Here is a 17,855-nt window from a genome sequence, read left to right as displayed (position 1 = left end):
CATTTCTTTTCCCTCCTCCACGTTTGCCTCACCCTAGCCAGTCCTGAGTCAATCTTTTTATTTACTTCTCTCATGGAATCCAGCCCCAAACCCAGCTCATACCAAGTCCTCAATAAATGCTTGGTAAGTAGATGAGTAAATGAATAAAATTTCTATAGATTCAACTGTAGGATGATGAACTTCATTTATTTATTTATTTGTTTATTTATTATTTAACCATGAGAATGAAAACCAGGAAGGATGCTGAATTTCTGTCATCTAAGTATAAATATGTGATATATATTACCAAAACTCAACTTGTCTACCTCCATAGTCAGCATGCATTGTTGGTAAAGTGCCAAGTATACATATTTTAATAGGGCATTACAGGCCAGACTGTCTCTGTTGTGACTACTTAACTCCATCATTATAGTGTGAAAAAAGCCACTGACAATACAGAAACAAATGAGTGTCTATAAACCTGTATTTGTGGACACTGAAATATGAATTTCATAGAATATTTTAATAAAATTTTCTTAGGTGTTTTTTCAACCTTTAAAAAGTGAACACCTTTTTTAGCTTGTAGACCATACACAACTAGCTGGTAGGCCAGATTTGACCCATGCGCCATAGTTTTCTGACCACATGCATCAAATGTTTTAGTACATCTACAATGCTTTAAAATAGTACCTGCTTGATGAACTTTATGAAGTTAATATTTATGAAAAAATATATAAAAGGCAAATACCACAAAGATTTCAGAACTGCTAAATTAATGCAGGGTTATGCTTTGCCATTGGTGAGTACTGTCTTTTAAAGAGTTTTATTTTTTACTGATGTATACTGCACAAAAGCAAAGTAGGGCTGGGCACAGTGGCTCACGTCTGTAATCCCAGCACTTTTGGAGGCCGAGGCAGGCAGATCACTTGAGGTCAAGAGTTTGAGACCAGCCTGGCCAACATGGTGAAACCCCATCTCTACTAAAAATGTAAAAATTAGCCGGGCATGGTGGTGAGCACCTGTAATCCCAGCTACTCAGGAGGCCGAGGCAGGAGAATCACTTGAACCCAGGAGGCAGAGGTTGCAGTGAGCTGAGATCAGCCCCCTGCCCTCCAGCCTGGGTGACAGAATGAGACTCTGTCTCAAAAAAAAAGAAAAAAAAGCAAGTAGAAATACCTATTATTCTTTATAAAGTTCTATTTTCAACCCCCAGTCAGCATAATTCAAGCCAGGAATTTAAAGACAGAATGTGCATGCCAATTTCTTTAAGCATTGAAAATCAACATTCTTCAAACAGCTTAAAGCAACATTTGCAGGGCTAAAAATTGGGTTTGATAGGATTTTTAAAGAGATATTACTCAAGACCTAAATATAATCTTTTGTAGAGATTAGAGAAGAATAATACAGAAGCCTCAGATTCAAATAACATTTACTGAGGTCCTTTTCTTTTCCTTTTTTTTTTTTTTGAGACAGAGTCTCACTCTGTCACCCAGGCTGGAGTGCAGTGGTGCAATCTCAGCTTACTGCAACTTCTGCCTCCTGGGTTCAGGCGATTCTCCTGCCTCAGCCTCCCGAGTAGCTGGGATTACAGGCATGCGCCACCATGCCTGGCTAATTTTTCGTATTTTTAGTAGAGACAGGGTTTCACCATGTTGGCCAGGCTGGTCTTGAACTCCTGACCTACTGAGGTCCTGTTCTGTTCTAGTGCTCTTATATTCAAAAAGCAACAGGCAATGGCGATGGCAGAGAGGAGGAAAAATGATGTAGGAAATGAAGTGACCTATCCAAGCCCCAAAGCTAAGGAAGCGGAGGAAGTATCCAGAGTCAGACTTCTGCCTCCTGGTCCAGTTCTCGTTTTAGGACATTATGATCCCTTGCCTTCTCTAAGGCTTAATGAGCCAGATCTGCTGAGAGAAAGAATCATACCATAGCCTGTGAAGTCTGCATCTGTTGAATGGTATGATGAAGCTGGTGCTAATGGTATCTCTTGTGAACTGAAGGAGACTTTTGTTGGATATTTTTGCTGTTTCATCTGGCTGACAGCCTACAAAAGAAAGGAAAATTAGATGAATATCAAAAAGGAGAAAGGTAACAAGAAAATACTTTAAAACTGGTGTATTGTTACCAAAACAATGGTGCAGTCCAATGATGTCTTTTGAGAATATAAGGTTGGAGGGTGGCAAGAAGTTAGGATGATTTATGCCTCGTTCCTCATTCTTCCCTATTTAACTTTACAACTAAAATGCTTTGATGAAGGGCAGATCAAGGAAGGGAGGAAAGATAAAAGCTGAAGATACTCTGTCAGTGTGATCTGTACATGAAGCTGGGGGTGGGAGGCAAAACAAAAATTATCTTGCAATTTCTACTCATTCTGATGAAATCAGCAAGAAGCCCCTTTATCTATGGACTTTGAAGTGACTTATCTGTGTTGTGCACATTGAAAAACAATCTACGCTGGGGATGTTTAGAGCATCAACACTGTCCATTTCTTCTGGACACACTAGAGTCAAAGATGCATTTGGTAGGTTAATTAAGCAAAATGAGGGGCAGACAAAGAAAACCAACACCTACTGAAAGCCTACTAAATGCCAGCTACATCAGTGACATTTAATTCACATAAAGGAAGCATAGCTCCTTTATTGAGTCCCTACTATGTTCCAGGCACCTACGATACCCAGTGCCTGGAACATAGTAGGGACTCAATAAAGTGCTTGATGAATGAATGAACAAGAAAGAAAGAACAAAGAAAAGCAAAACTGAAGACATGAGTAACTCAGGGTAGAAAGTGAACTTGCAATTCAGTGAAGGTACAGGGACCTCTACTGTGTGAGTTTGGGAAAAATTAACTTGTAATTCTGGATTTTTGCTGACAGTACCTCCAATGAATATTAATATTAAAAAACTAAGGGGCCAGGCATGGTGGCTCACGCCTGTAAACCCAGCACTTTGGGAGGCTGAGATGGGCAGATCACCTGACATCAGGAGTTCGAGACCAGCCTGGCTAACATGGTGAAACCCCATCTCTACTGAAAAAAATACAAAAATTAGCCAGGCGTGGTGATGCATGCCTGTAATCCCAGCTACTTGGGAGGCTGAGGCAGGAGAATTGCTTGAACCCAGGAGGCAGAGGTTGCAGTGAGCTGAGACCGTGCCATTGCACTCCAGCCTGGGCAACAAGAATGAAACTCCGTCTCCAAAAATAAATACATACATACATACATACACTAAGAAAAACCAAAAGGACTCCTTGCTTATTTAACAGGCAGTTAAGAAATATAGGTAGTAACCTGACCTGCCTTCTGGATCTGCAGTTGGCCAGGGAACCCATCCCCAGCTGGAAGAGTCTGGTAGTGAAGCACCAGGTTGCCCCTGGAGTCTAGAAATAGGACCAAGGTAACTGCTCCAGAACTGTAACACCTCAAGATTCTGTCAGTGGAAAGCTGTGCCTCAATACAGGGCATTGTGCAGTGTGCAGTAACAACAAAACAATACCATCCATTGTGCATATGCACTGTGCTTTCTAGTTTTCAAAACACTTTTACATCCATAAATTCATTCAATCACATGAACAACCCCGACAGTTAAATATTACTTTTTTTCTTTTTGCAGAAAACCAAGCATAAATGTCAAGTGACATATTTGAAATCACACTGCTAATTAGAGAAAGAGGTAGAACCGGAAGTCAATAGTTGAAGAATGCTACAAGCTTAAAGTGTTTATCAAACAGCTGATAGGCAATGATTCTATGGAGTTTTTTTGTTTTTTCCTGCAGTTTTTCTATCACCATCTTCTTTTTTTTTTTTTTTTGGACAGGGTCTCACTCTGTCACCTAGGCTGTAATAGTTGTGTGATCTCGGCTCACTGAAGCCTTGATGTCCTGGGCTCAGGTGATTCTCCCACCTCAGCCTCCTGAATACCTGGGATTACAGGCGCACACCACCACGCCTGGCTAATTTTTTGTATTTTTAGTAAAGATGGAGTTTTGCTATGTTGCCCAGGCTGGTCTCGAACTCCTGGACTCAAGCAATCCACCCACCTCAGCATCTCAGAGTGCTGGGATTACAGGCATGAGCCACTGTGCCCCGCCACTATCAGCATCATTTAATATTGACTAAAAAGAGACTTTTTCAATTACATATTTATCAGTGATTTTTAAAGGAAGAAAGTAGAAAAGGACAAATAAGGGGTTACTATAAGAAAACAACATTGAGAGGACTTAGATATCCAATTATTCTAAGGACCACATTTACTAGCCTCATTGAAGGTAGGTGTGCCAACAGGCTAAGTCCTGGTCAATGGGATGTAAACAGAAGTGAATGTACAATTTTTAGGTCATTCTCCTAAGGAGAAAGATCCTGTCTTTCCCTTCTCACTGCTTGGAATACAGATGTGTTGGTAATAACTGAAGCAGCCCTCTTAAACTAAAGAATGGATGCCACCATTTGAGGGTGGTAGAGTAATCAAATAAGAATGGTATAGTAATCAGATAAGAGGTGCTTGGGTCTCTGACACTTTGGAGACACCATATCATTCCCCAACTGACCACACACAGCCACACACAGACTCTTATGCTAAAGAGAACTTCTTGCAGCAATTGAGCCTGTGTCTTAACTCACACAGTACTTACCTCCAACTTACATTTTATATCACCTCAAGAAAGAACATGGATTCCCAACAAAGCTGGGTGCAAGCCGCAGAGTTCTTTTATGAAAAATCACGCGACTTTTAAAATAAGAAAGCACTAAAGAGAGCAATCTAGATTACTAAATTACGACTTTTCTATAGCATGAGATGATTGTTGCTTTTCTTTATATCCCAGTTTCATGTAGCATCTGGTGCATAATAGGTCCCTGATAGATACTGGTGGAATTGAATTCAATTTAACAATAAGGAAGCAGTCCATAGAATCCAAGTGAAATGTCCAAACATATATACATAGAGGCTGGCCTCCAGTTGTCGGTATGTGTGGTGATGGATGAAGGAGTGTTCCCATGACTCATTCATTGGCACAAAACCAAACTACTGTGTAAGAAAGATCAGAAAGAATGGATTTGCTGTTGTATGTTACTGTATTATAAGAACTGAGATGGACTTTATAGGTCATCCAACCTAACTAAACCTGTGGTTTTCAACCCTGTTTCATAATAGGAACACCTACGGAGCTTTTAAAAATTACAGATGCTAGGATCCCCATCGCAGGCAAAATAAATTAGCATCTAGGGGTGTGGGTCCCAGGCAGGTTTTTTTTGTTTTTTGTTTTTGTTTTTAATTGAGACTTATTGATTAAGACTTAATCTTCTTTTAAGAAGCCCTGGCTTAAGAATCCATGGTTTAACTTTAAACGATGTCTCAAAAACAAAACAAAACAAAACAAAACTTGCCTGGGATCCACATCCCTAGATGCCAGTTTATTTGGTCTGGGATGGGGGTCCTAGCATTCGTGATTTTTTTTAAAGCTCTCTAGGTGTTCCTATTATAAAACAGGGTTAAGAACCACTGGTTTAGTTGTAAAACACCCTTGTAGTTGTATCAAAATTGTACTTGTCAGTGTTTTTCTTTTCTTTTTTTTTTTTTTTGAGACGGAGTCTCGCTCTGTTGCCCAGGCTGGAGTGCAGTGGCGCGATCTCTGGTCACTGCAAGCTCTGCCTCTCGGGTTCACATCATTCTCCTGCCTCAGCCTCCCGAGTAGCTGGGACTACAGGCACCCACCACCACGCCTGGCTAATTTTTTGTATTTTTAGTAGAGACGGGGTTTCACCGTGTTAGTGAGAATGGTCTAGATCTCCTGACCTTGTGATCCACCCATCTCGGCCTCCCAAAGTGCTGGGATTACAGGCGTGAGCCACTGCGCCCGGCCCTTGTCAGTGTTTTTCTAGAGAAAGGATTTACACTTCATCAGGCCCTCATGAAAGGAAAATAAACATCACTACTCAAAAGAAGGTATATGTTGCTAAGTTTGCTATCACTAATTAGCTGTGTGACCACAGACAAGTCACTTGACCGCCCCATCTATAAATTGGTGATACATCTATATCTTGCAAGGTTGTTGTAAAAATTAAAGGTAAATAAATAAACCCATCATTGTGCCAGAAATAATTTAGGCTCAATTAATAACAGCTATTAATGCTTTTATGTCCTTTTAGAACATATCAATAAATGATCAGCCAGCTTCTGATTGAAAACCTTCAGGGATGGAAAATTCCACTTCCATGAAGAAGCTCATTCCATTTTGGAGCAGCTCAAAGGGTGGAAAAGTTCTGTATAATGAGCTGCCAGCCTCACTGCAGATGATGCCCACTGACCTCTGGGCCATTTCTCTTTGGAAGCTGCAGAAAGGACTTAAAATCACTTTCCCAAAGGAGAATAATTTAGATGTTTAGGTGCTCATTGTTCTGCAAGAAGAAGAATGTAAGATGATATTTAGGATTCGCCCTAGCTCTAAAATTCTATGGTTGTAATATTTTAGAGATGTTTGATATGTGCTTGAGGTAGGTGGGAGTATATGAAGTTTTGTTTGTGTGTTTGTTTTTGAGACAGAGCCCTGGTCTGTCATCCAGGCTGGAGTGCAGTGCTGTGATCTCAGCTCACTGCAACCTCCGCCTCCTGGGTTCAAGTGATTCTCCTGCCTCAGCCTCCTGAGTAGATGGGATTACAGGCAGCTGCCACCACGCCTGGCTAATTTTGGTATTTTTAGTAGAGATGAGGTTTTGCCATGTTGGCCAGGCTGGTCTCGAACTCCTGACCTCAGGTGATCCACCCGTTTCAGCCTCCCAAAGTGCTGGGATTACAGGCATGAGCCACTGTGCCCAGCCGGGAGTATATAAAGTATTAATACCTTAATGTATTTGCAAACACATTCAAGCAAAACCTGCTTTTAAATTTAAAAATTATAATTGGCCAGATGCAGTAGCTCACAACTATAATCCCAACATTTTGGGAGGCTGAGGTGCGAGGACTGCTTGAGCCCAGGAGTTTGAGGTTAGAGTGAGCTATGATTGCACTACTGTACTCCAGCCTGGGTAACAGAGTAAGACCCTGACTCTTAAAAAAAAAATTGCTTAAAGGTTTTCAGTTGAACTGAATTTGGTTATTTTTAAGGTTCATTCTGTATCTATTTTTTTTTTAATTTTATTATTATTATACTTTAAGTTTTAGGGTACATGTGCACAACGTGCAGGTTTGTTACATATGTATACATGTGCCATGTTGGTGTGCTGCACCCATTAACTTGTCATTTAGCATTAGGTATATCTCCTAATGCTATCCCTCCCCCCTCCCCCCACTATTTTTTTTAATTTGGGTTTTCAGCATATAATTTTACAGAATTTTCAAAGGCATTTTCTTTGGCAATGTTTGAAATATATATTTCCTGTAAACTCTAGTAATCTATAGTTTCTTAAATATAAAAATAGCTAACACAGTAATAATGTATACATTTTAGACACATAAAAACATAGATTAGTACACAGATATGAAAATCTGGAGTTAAAAAAAGCAAGGAAAAAGCTCAACAGCAACAAAAGTATAAAAATGTGATAAAAGTTTATAGTTCTTTAAGAGAAGTGAAATTCAAATGTAAGGAACACTGAAGTTATTTTATAGAAATTCTTCCATTTGTAATTTTTATTTCTAATATTGTGTAAGACATGGTGCTCTCAGAAATTTTTTTGGAGATGGAGTCTCAGTATATCGCTTAGGCTGGTCTGGAATTCCTGGGCTCAAGCAAGCCTTCTGCCTCAGCTACCTGAGTAGCTGGGACTACAGGTATGCACCACTGTGCCTGGCTAGATAGAATTTATTTAAGTGCAAGGGTGTTTTCAGGGATACCCTTTTATTATTTATTTATTTATTTATTTATTTAAAGACAGCGTCTCACTCTGTCACCCAGGCTGGAGCGCAGTGGTGCAATCTTGGCTCATTGTAACCTCTGCCTCCCAGGTTCAAGTGATTCTCAGGCCTCAGCCTCCTGAGTAGCTGAGACTACAGGCATGCACCACATCTGGCTAATTTTTGTATTTTTGGAAGAGATTTTTGTATTTTTAGCAGACTTGCTATGTTGGCCAGTCTGGTCTGGAACTCCTGACCTCAAGCAATCTGCCTGCCTTGGCCTCCCAAAGTGGTGGGATTACAAGCATGAGCCACCATGCCCAGCCAGGGATGCCCTTTTAAGCATCTGTTTAGGGGGTTGGGACAGAGAGGTGAACACAAGATATTTGCATCAACTTGCACAGAATCAATGATACAGTTGTGGCTTGATTTCAGGTTGCATGACACTCCACAACCTCCTGTCAAGTAATAAAAGATCTGATCTCATTGCAATCACCTCCTTTTCTTTTGGAACCCGGTCTATAACGCACGCAACCCCAGAAGAGCAAAACCTAAAGTACAAGTTATGTACATTGTCAGGTGGGTATTCCAGTGCCTTCTGCTGATCTGCCACCATGCCCTGACCAATCACCTGGGACATGTCTTCCTGAAATGTAAAAGACACAACCAATTAGCAGCATTGGAGGGCTCAACCGCACTTTCCAATTTCAGCAGTTAGTACATTTAATTGGGCTTCAGTCTACTACAAAAATGACCAAAACACTGGGCAAAAAAGTTTCATTCACCCACTGGACTAACTCTTAGAAATGAACACAGCCTTGTCATTTCCAAATGTTTTTTCAGCCCTTTCAGATCTGTGAGGCCTTAGACCTATCAGATTTCTTTTCTTTTTCTTTTTCTTCTTTTTTTTTTTTTTTTTTAAATAAAAGACAGGGTCTTTTTATGTTGCTGCTGGAGCGCAGTGTGTTCTTCACAGGCATGATCTCACTGCTAATCAGCACAGGGGTTTTCACCTGCTCTGTTTCTGACCTGGGCTGGTTCACCCCTTTTTAGGCATCTTGGTGGTCCCTCCTCCCAGGAGGTCACCATATCGATACCGAACTTAGTGTGGACACCCAATTGGCAGAGCTCGTTATAGCGTCAAACTTCTGGGCTCAAGTGATCCTCCTGTCTCAGCCTCCTGAGTAGCTGGGACTACACGAGCAACAACACACTCGGCCAGATATCCTTTGATGGTCATTCCAGCCAGAGTTTTTTCTTTTTCGTTACACTAATATCCCTATAAAACTATCTGTTCAGGGCTCAAATCCTGAACTAGAGTTTTTTCCCCTTAAGACATTCAATTAGAATTAAAAAACAAAAAAACAAAAACAAAAAAAACCACGGCTACAGAAAATACTGGGGGATAAAGGTAAGTTAGCTCTAAACCCCACGGAGGAGTGCAGAATCCAGACTTGGGAGAATCCAAACTGCCTAAACACGTGGAAAGTGAAGCATAGCGAAAGGGCAGTTTATTAACTGAAATAAATAATAACACCAATAAATTGACCAGAATGTTTATGTCTGCCTCCCATCATATCCTATTTTTTTTTTAATAGGCACATTTTCAGGGGAAATTATCATACGATGGTTTACTTTAAGGCATAAATTCCTGCAACTGGGTTTGGACAAAGCAGGGAACAGGAGAGACTGGTTTGGATAGGAGAAAGCATGGGTTTACTCTGTCTCTTGGTAACGTCTGAGAGACACCCAGGTGGTGAGGTGTAGTACACAGACAGCAGGTAGGTAAGCTGATCTGGAAGGTAGGGATAACTTGTATAATGAATGGAATGTTAGGAGTCTGTGATCCTAGCTCTTCAACTTAAGAGTTCTGCAAACCTGGCCGGGCGCAGTGGTTCACGCCTGTAATCCCAGCACTTTGGGAGGCCAAGGTGGGGGCGGTGGATCACCTGAGGTCAGGAGTTCGAGACCAGCCTGGCCAATATGGCAAAACCCCGTCTGTACTAAAAATACAAAAATTAGCTGGGTGCCTGTAATCCCAGTTACTCGGGAGTCTGAGGCAGAAGAATTGCTTTTACCTGGGGAGGCGGAGGTTGCAGTGAGCTGAGATTGCACCACTGCACTCCAGCCTGGGTGACAGAGCAAGATTCTGTCTCAAAAAAAAAAAAAAAAAAAAGTGATCTACAAACCTGAACAGGTTATTTGCCCTCTTCAAGCCTTAATTTCCCCATCCATAAAATGGAAAAAAATAAAAGTAGCTATAATTTCAGGATGCTGAAAAGATTAAATGAAGTAATACATGAGCACCCTTAGCAACACACCTGGCAATTAATAATATTTACTAAAGATGCTAATGATGATAGTAAATGGAATTGGGCTATGGTAGCCCCATGTTCCTAAATGCACTACAGGGGACTAGTGCAGAGCCCAGAACATGCACCCATAACCACGGTGCTAAGAGTCTTGGAAGCGACCTAGAAAGGACACTTTTCTCCTGTAGGAAATGCTGGAGGCAATTTTTAGAGTAAGTAAGACTAACTTACCTTTGTATCTCACAGTATTTTCTGTAACTGGTTTTTGTTTGTTTGTTTTTTGCTTTTAATTGAATCTGACATCCCCTGCCTCGGGTCTCTTTCCTAGGCATGTTCACACAGCCTTTCTTCACCAGGCTCCCATTCGATGTATAACAATACAATAGATAGTGACCAAGTTATGCCCAGCTGTTCATTGTTATTAGATTCAGTTACAATCTCATCCTATGTCCTTAATTCCCCATTGGTTTACAACCTGAAAGATTTAACCCCAGTAAGCACTATCCTGAGACTGGAGCCTAGGTCTCCTGGATGACCATGCCTACACTTAGCTGCCTACTTTCTAACTGATTTTTGGGGGGCCAGACTTATCTCACTCATTCAGATTCTCTTTAATTTTCCCCTTCTATGAGAAAGATCCTAGGACTGCTCCCCTGCCCTTTATAAATTTTGCTTCTAAACAGATGATATGATATAAAATGAACTAAAAAAATTACCTCCTCTTGTAATTCTTCCCTTAGCCCCTGGGTGGTGCCCCTTCCACAAGATGAACCAATGAATTTTATCACTTATTTGCAAGATTATATTGTATCTTTTTATGTATGTGTCTCCCATATCTTAATATGATCGACTTTGTCTTATTTCTTTCTTCAACATATGGCAGAATAGAATATGGGCTTTATAAAGTGTTAGTGCTGAGTGAATCAAAGTTCGGGAACTTAAATCTTAAATGCACCCACGTGGATTTGAGAACCAGCCATGAAAGGAAGGTCACACAGTGAAGATGACTCTGTGGCCTTTACTTTAAAGGATCACACTTGAAAAGAGAGAAAAAAGACGTGAAAAGGTCAATAAGGCTCATGGGAATTTTTAGAGGAAAAACTCTAACCTGCCTCGTAAACAGAAACTATTGGTGTTACTCCTACCAGTGTGTATCAAATGGCCTTAGGAGGAGCAAAAGTAAGTGCCTCTGTTTGAAAATGATATTGTAGATCTGCAATTCGACCTTGGTTTCAACCCCAATTAACCAGCAGTGGGACAAAGGACCTGACTTCCCAAACTACAGGTTTAAAAATCCAATTTGCACATCACATGGAAGAAGTACTAATTTGGTTTTATTCTTCCTTATCATTTGAACTTTTTAGAAAAAAGAAATGGCACTGGAATAACAGCCAGATAATCTGGGTTCAGACTTGTTCTGCTACTTACTAGCAGTAATAGTGTTTGGAAACCTTCATTTTTTTATTAAGAATGCAATAACTGCTACCTGAATAAGGGGTTGTGAGCAAAGTTGAATTCAATACATGCTTACTGAGCACCTACTACATGCCAGCACAAACAAAAAGAAAAACAGAGGAGCCCTTGCCCTGAGCACATTTACAGACCTAGTGAGACAGATGTTAAAGAAATAATCATAGAAATGAATACAACTGAATGGTAGATGCGTGAAGGTGTGTGGTGGGTAGCAGGAGCCTGAAGTGTCAGTTTCCTTCCTTTTTTCTTGTCCTCAAAAATGTAGAAGGAATAGATGAGAAAACTGGATTTCTGAAAAGCATCTGGTCTGACGCACTGTCTCATTTCTTATATTGATTACTCTTAAACATCCGAGCCAAGGGATGGAGCTGGTACGTGATGATGATGAAAATTATGACAGCTAAAATCTCCTGAGTATGTGCCTGTTACTGAGCTAGGCATATTACCCATTTGTTGGTGTACACAACAGACCTGTGTATTAGGGACAATTATTGCTCTTATAATTATTGCTCTTATAATATAATTGAGGTATAATTATATACCTCAGCAGAGCTGAGGTAACTGCGGCACAGAGAGGCTAAATTATTATTTGCCAAGCCAGAACTTAACTCAGACACATCTTGCTGCAGAGCCCTTGCTCTTAACTGAGTAAACCTTCAGGGAAAGGGAAAGTACTGTTTACCTCCTCCCAGCAACACACGCAAGATTCTTAGCCAGCAATGACATAGTGATTCCGTTTTTAGATCCAATATCAGGTCAGAACAAGTCATGCCTGCTTATTTTAAACTTGGGTTGGGAAAAAAAATCATGGCAGTAGCCACGGCAGTGACCTTGGGTCGCTTTCCTTCATATTTTGTGTTTAAACATGAATTTATAATTTGCTAATTGCCCAATTATTACACAAAAGGAGCTCTTAATGCCTTCAAAACTGAGGTTTGGGGACATTCTAATGTGTTTACTTTGCAAGGGACCCCTAAAAAAGAAGAATGAAGAAATGTTGTAGAAAGGTCATCTCATTTCATGAAATAAACTGATATGACACATTCTGGCAGCATGATGCTATAATCTTCAGCACAGCACTATGAGCTCTGAAAGAAAATGCTTTGTGGGCCAGGAAAATTACTGTGATCAAGTGAAGGAGCTTCTGAAGGGTGGACATAAAAGGCAACACTGGCAATATCCCATATAACAGATGGGTGACATGTCCAGCTGACAATCCCCAAAGCTGGTTGATCTCTGTCCCAAAGCTGGACAATCAAAATGCCCTGTCTCTCTGGCCACAGTAACTGGTCCAAGGGTGGACACTTGAACCACACAAGAATATTCTACGGATTTTCCAAAGTAGACCCAAGGGAAGAGTCAGCTCTTTTCTGGCAGAGAGGCTTAGGAGCTTTGGGCAGCCATACACACATCAGGCTGAAGAAGCACATCTGCAGGAGGAAAGTCAGATAAACAGAGAGAACCCTGGCAGCAGCAGGCCTCTGGTTCCAACCACCTCTGAGGCTAAGTGTCAACCACACGCTGCCTGCAAGTATATGAAAAACAAACAAACTAACTAACAAACAAACAAACCTCTAGCCCTTGAGTAAATTTCTCCTTTTGTCTAAGTAATGTCAAATTGAGATTCTGTCACTTGCAACAAAGAGATCCCTAATTGAAACAGGGTGGAGCCCATCTCTCCCAGAAAATATCCACCAGGATAACAAACTCAGATGCATCCAGGCATCAGGCTGCAAGGGAGCCAACTGAAGGTGAATGACGTGAACTGAGTATAAGACAACAAATTAGGCCAGGCGCGGTGGCTCACGCCTGTAATCCCAGCACTGTGTAAGGCCGAGGTGGGTGGATCACTTGAGTTCAGGAGACTGGCCTAGGGAACACGGTGAAACCCCATCTCTACAAAAAATACAAAAATTAGCCAGCCATGGTGGTGCACACCTGTGGTCCCAGCTACTCAGGAGGCTGAGGTAGGAGGATCGCTTGAGCCCGGGAGGCAGAAGTTGCAGTGAGCTGAGATCGTGCCACTGCACTCCAGCTGGGGTTATAGAGTGAGACCCCATCTCAAAACAAACAAACAGAGATGGTGGTTCAGCCTAAAAGCATTCAAATTTAACAATTCTTAAAATATGCCCATCAGACAAACAACAAACAAACACTAATGTTTACTACTACTTTTGGTCCTTGGGCTTCCATTTTGTAGCTGAAGCTGCCTTTGCAAAATTATGACAGTAAGAGAAATGTGACATAGTTGACTTGATCTAGCTTCTTGACCACCTCACTGTCCTTGATCATTCCTGCATGTAGGCCATAGTAACTCTGGGAGGAATTTAGTGGATAGTTTAACTTGAAAGCAAAGATGATAATAGTCCCCACCTAAAACTAACCCCTTTCTTGCTTAGGGATCAAAAGCTCCTTTTGTAAGAGTAATGAAAGGCCACAAAAATAGGATTATCGGGGCTGGGCGTGGTGGCTCATATCTGTAATCCCAGCACTTTGGGAGGCTGAGGTGGGTGGATCACAAGGTCAGGAGATTGAGACCATCCTGGCTAACATGGTGAAACCCTGTCTCTACTAAAAATACAAAAAAATTAGCCGGGCGTGGTGGCATGTGCCTGTAGTCCCAGCTACTCGTGAGGCTGAGGCAGGAGAATTGCTTGAACCTGGGAGGTGGAGGTTGCAGTGAGCCAAGATTGCACCACTGCACTCCAGCCTGGGTGACACAGCGAGACTCCATCTCAAAAAAAAAAAAAAAAAAAAAGAAAGAATAGGAATTATGAGAGGGGCCTGAACTCTTTGCTAAGAGAGGCATAATTTCTATAATCCCTTGCTGCTCAGGGGTCATATGGCTAGAGGTCACAAGATTTTTGATTTCCCCAATTGTAGATAACATCACTAGTGTAGAACCTAAGGTTGGTTCTTTGAGATATCTTTCAAACTGACCCCACGTGGACTTGTGACTCATGATTCAACTGATCCTGTGGCCCCACCCAGAGGTGGATCAGTAAACAAGGACTGTGTCCACACCTCTATGAATTCACCCCCAACCAATCAGCAGCACCCATTCCCTAGCCCCCTGCCCACCAAACTGTCCATAAAAACCCCAAAGTCTGAGCCTTCAGGGAGACTGAACTCCAGTTCTCCTGTGCATGGGCTGGTCTTGCGTCAATTAAACTCTTTCTTTACTGCAATGCTGTGGTCTCAGTGGGTTGATTTTGTCTGTGCAGTTGGCAGGAGGAATATACTTAAAAAGCCCTTTCCTGGGTCAGTTCCAGCCTAATTCCTACTCATCTAACCACCTGGATTAGGTGAAATCACATTAGCAAAGTTCCCACAGGCCAGGTGTGGTGTCTCCTGCCTGTAATCTCAACACTTTGGGAAGCTGTGGCAGGAAGACTGCTTGAGCCCAGGAGGTCAAAGCTGCAGTGAGCTGTGATCACACCACTGCGTTCCAACCTGGGCGACAGAGTGTGACCCTGTCTCAAAAAAAAAAAAAAGTTCCCACAGCACGTTACCTTGTCCTTCAATAATACTTATTAACCTTAATAATTACTTATTTAAAGTTGGATTCAAATCTTGGCTATGACACTTATTAGTTGAGTGTCTCAGTTTCCTTATCTATAAAATGGGAATAGTAATAGACCAATCTCATATAAGATACAAATTGATGCACTTGGAATAATGCCTATAGAATGCATAGTAAATGCCATGAAAGCATTAGCTGCTGTTATCCTCGGCAGTTCTGAAAGCTCCCTGAAGGCAGGATTCTTCACTGTCACTACACCTTGTTTAGTGCAGAGCCTGGGACATAACTGGCCCTCAATACAAACTTGCTTAGTTTCTGAAAGAGAAGGTAGATTTATAGTTCCCTTTGAAAGATAACAAAATCAACACACGTTTTAGATTATAGGCTCTTATTATGTGTGCAAATAAGGCTTCCCAGAAAACCGAAAACTTCATAGACTCAGAGAACAGTGCCCAAGCAGCAGCACTTGTTTCTGAGGAGCAGTGGGATTCTGAAAGGAGGGGATGTGACCGGTGTGAGAAAGTCTGAGTTCTGGGTTCTGAGCCCTGTCATTTTACTTCTCTAAGCCCTGCGTGCTAAAAATTACAATTGTGAGATCACTTTCTCAATTTAGAAAAAATCTGATAAGCAAGTGATTCCTTCTGGGCAAGTTAAATTTCAAGTTGAATCAGTCTCCACATTGGACCAGTTACAGTGGTTGGGAATGAATGTAAGCTAGTAGATATCAAAGCTGTAAATTATTATTTTTTTTGAGACAGAGTCTTACTCTGTCACCCAGGCTGGAGTGCAATGGTGTGATCTTGGCTCACTGCAACCTCTGCCTCCTGAGATCAAGCGATTTGCCTCAGCCTCTCGAGTAGCTGGAATTACAGGCAAGCGCCAACTATGCAGGGCTAATTTTTGTATTTTTAGTAGAGAAGGGGTTTTGCTATGTTGCCCAGGCTGGTCTCAAACTCCTGAAATCAGGTGATCCGCCTGTCTCGGCCTCCCAAAGTGCTGGGATTACAGACATGAGCCACGGCACCCAGCCTAAAGCTATGAATTTGTGTCAAAATTGTGTGCCTACATTTCTGCTGTCTTTGAGTTCATGAGGTTACTTGCTCTGTTACCCTGGTGTCTCTACATTATCTTCATTTACTACAGTGAGAGGAAGAGAATAGAAGAAAAAAACAAAAGCTTTTCTCCAGAGACTTTCCTGAAGGAAGTAGACTTGACTGTAAAACCTACAGCCTTTTTTATCACCAAGAAAGGGAAATTTATCATGTACGCAAATCTCAAGTGGTTTTCAGGAATACAAGAGATAAAGAACAATGAGCTGTGAAAAATGCCACATATTTGAATGCACTTGAACTCTGCCATTGGCAATTTGCATACTGTCACAAAAGAGAAGGCAGTGCTGACTCAGTCACACTTTCTTGCTCCTTAGAGGGAATTCCTAGACTCCTGCTACAGATGTATTTTTTATGTTGCATCTGAAACAGAAAAAAAGGTTTGCACAGTGACATTTGCTCCCAATAGCAAACCAGAAATCCAGCAGTTGATAGAGTGCAAATTGGGGGTAAAAATTGATTTTAAGCATACAGTTCAAGATCTCATATTAAAAATGAGTAGGATATAACACCTGGGAATTCTAGCCTGGAAGTAAGACCAGCAAGAAGCCCATAATCATTAGAAACACATTTTAAGCTGTTTTTTCATACTTGGATACCAGCACTTTAAAAACACTTATGAAGGCCCGGCGCGGTGGCTCATGCCACCCAGCACTTTGGGAGGCCAAGGAGGGCAGATCACTTGAGCCCAGGAGTTCGAGACCAGCCTGGCCAACATGGTGAAACCTCATCTTTACTTAAAATACAAAAAAAATTAGCTGGGTCTGGTGATGCACACCTGTAATCCCAGCTACTCAGGTGGCTGAGGCAAGAGAATCGCTTGAACCTGGGAGGTGGAGGTTGCAGTGAGCTGAGATTGTGCCACTGCACTCACTCCAGCCTGGGCATCAGAGTAAGACTCGGTCTAAAAAAAAAAAAAAAAGCATTATGGCTCATACCCCATTTATACTTCAAAAGTCATTAAGTCCATAAGACTAAAAACAAAAACCATATTATCATCTTAGTAGACTCAGAAAAAGCTTTCGATAAAATCCAACATACCTTCATGATAAAAACCCTCAACAAACTAGGCATTGTAGGAACGTACCTCAAAATACTAACAGCCATCTTTGACAAACTCACAGCCAACATATTGATTGTGTAAAAGCTGGAAGCATTCCTCTTCAGAACTGGAACAAGACAAGGATGCCCACTCTCACCACTCCTATTCAACATAGTACTGGAAGTGCTAGCCAGAGCAACCAGGCAAGAGAAAGAAATAAAAGGCATTCGAATAGGAGAATAAAAAGTCAAATTCTCTGCCTTCACTGATGATATGATTCTGTAACTAAAAAACCCTAAAGACTGCCAAAAGACTACCAGACCTGATAAATGACGTCAGTGAAGTTTCAAGACACAAAATCAGTGAACAAAAATCAGTAGTATTTCTATACACCAATAACATTCAAGCTGAGAGCCAAATCAGGAATGCAATCCCATTTACAATAGCCACACAAAAAAATACCTAGGGATACATTTAACCAAGGAGGTGAAAGATCTCTATAAGGAGAACTACAAAACACTGCTGAAAGAAATCAGAGATGACACAAACAAATGGAAAAACATTCTATGCTCATGGACTGGATGAATCAA

At 41.3% G+C, this 17,855-nt stretch overlaps 1 protein-coding gene, 2 non-coding genes and 1 pseudogene across 21 annotated transcripts in view; 1 reads left to right on the top strand and 3 right to left on the bottom strand.

Moving 5' to 3' along the window:
* The window catches only part of PATJ (PATJ crumbs cell polarity complex component), a 421,436-nt gene that overhangs the window by 82,443 nt on the left and 321,138 nt on the right, over positions 1-17,855 (bottom strand). For 11 of the 19 annotated variants that reach the window (XM_011540462.4, XM_011540467.4, XM_011540464.4 and 8 more), the window contains 2 exons: positions 8,378-8,452; positions 1,906-2,023 (listed from right to left, as the gene is read on the bottom strand). In XM_011540462.4, the coding sequence (XP_011538764.1) occupies positions 1,906-2,023; positions 8,378-8,452 (193 nt within the window). The remainder of the gene's footprint in view (positions 1-1,905; positions 2,024-8,377; positions 8,453-17,855) is intronic. The other 8 variants (XM_011540465.4, XM_047424283.1, XM_024448614.2 and 5 more) reach the window with 1 other exon arrangement.
* MIR3116-1 (microRNA 3116-1) lies at positions 2,614-2,687 on the bottom strand. The gene has a single exon (NR_036058.1). It is a non-coding gene; the product is annotated as a microRNA 3116-1 (primary transcript).
* On the top strand, positions 2,617-2,684 carry MIR3116-2 (microRNA 3116-2). Its single transcript, NR_036059.1, has one exon. It is a non-coding gene; the product is annotated as a microRNA 3116-2 (primary transcript).
* On the bottom strand, positions 8,732-9,025 carry RN7SL180P (RNA, 7SL, cytoplasmic 180, pseudogene; annotated as a pseudogene).

The sequence above is a fragment of the Homo sapiens genome, chromosome 1 (assembly GCF_000001405.40).
Source record: "Homo sapiens chromosome 1, GRCh38.p14 Primary Assembly".
Classification (NCBI taxonomy): domain Eukaryota; kingdom Metazoa; phylum Chordata; class Mammalia; order Primates; family Hominidae; genus Homo; species Homo sapiens.
This window is presented reverse-complemented; position numbering and strand designations above follow the sequence as displayed.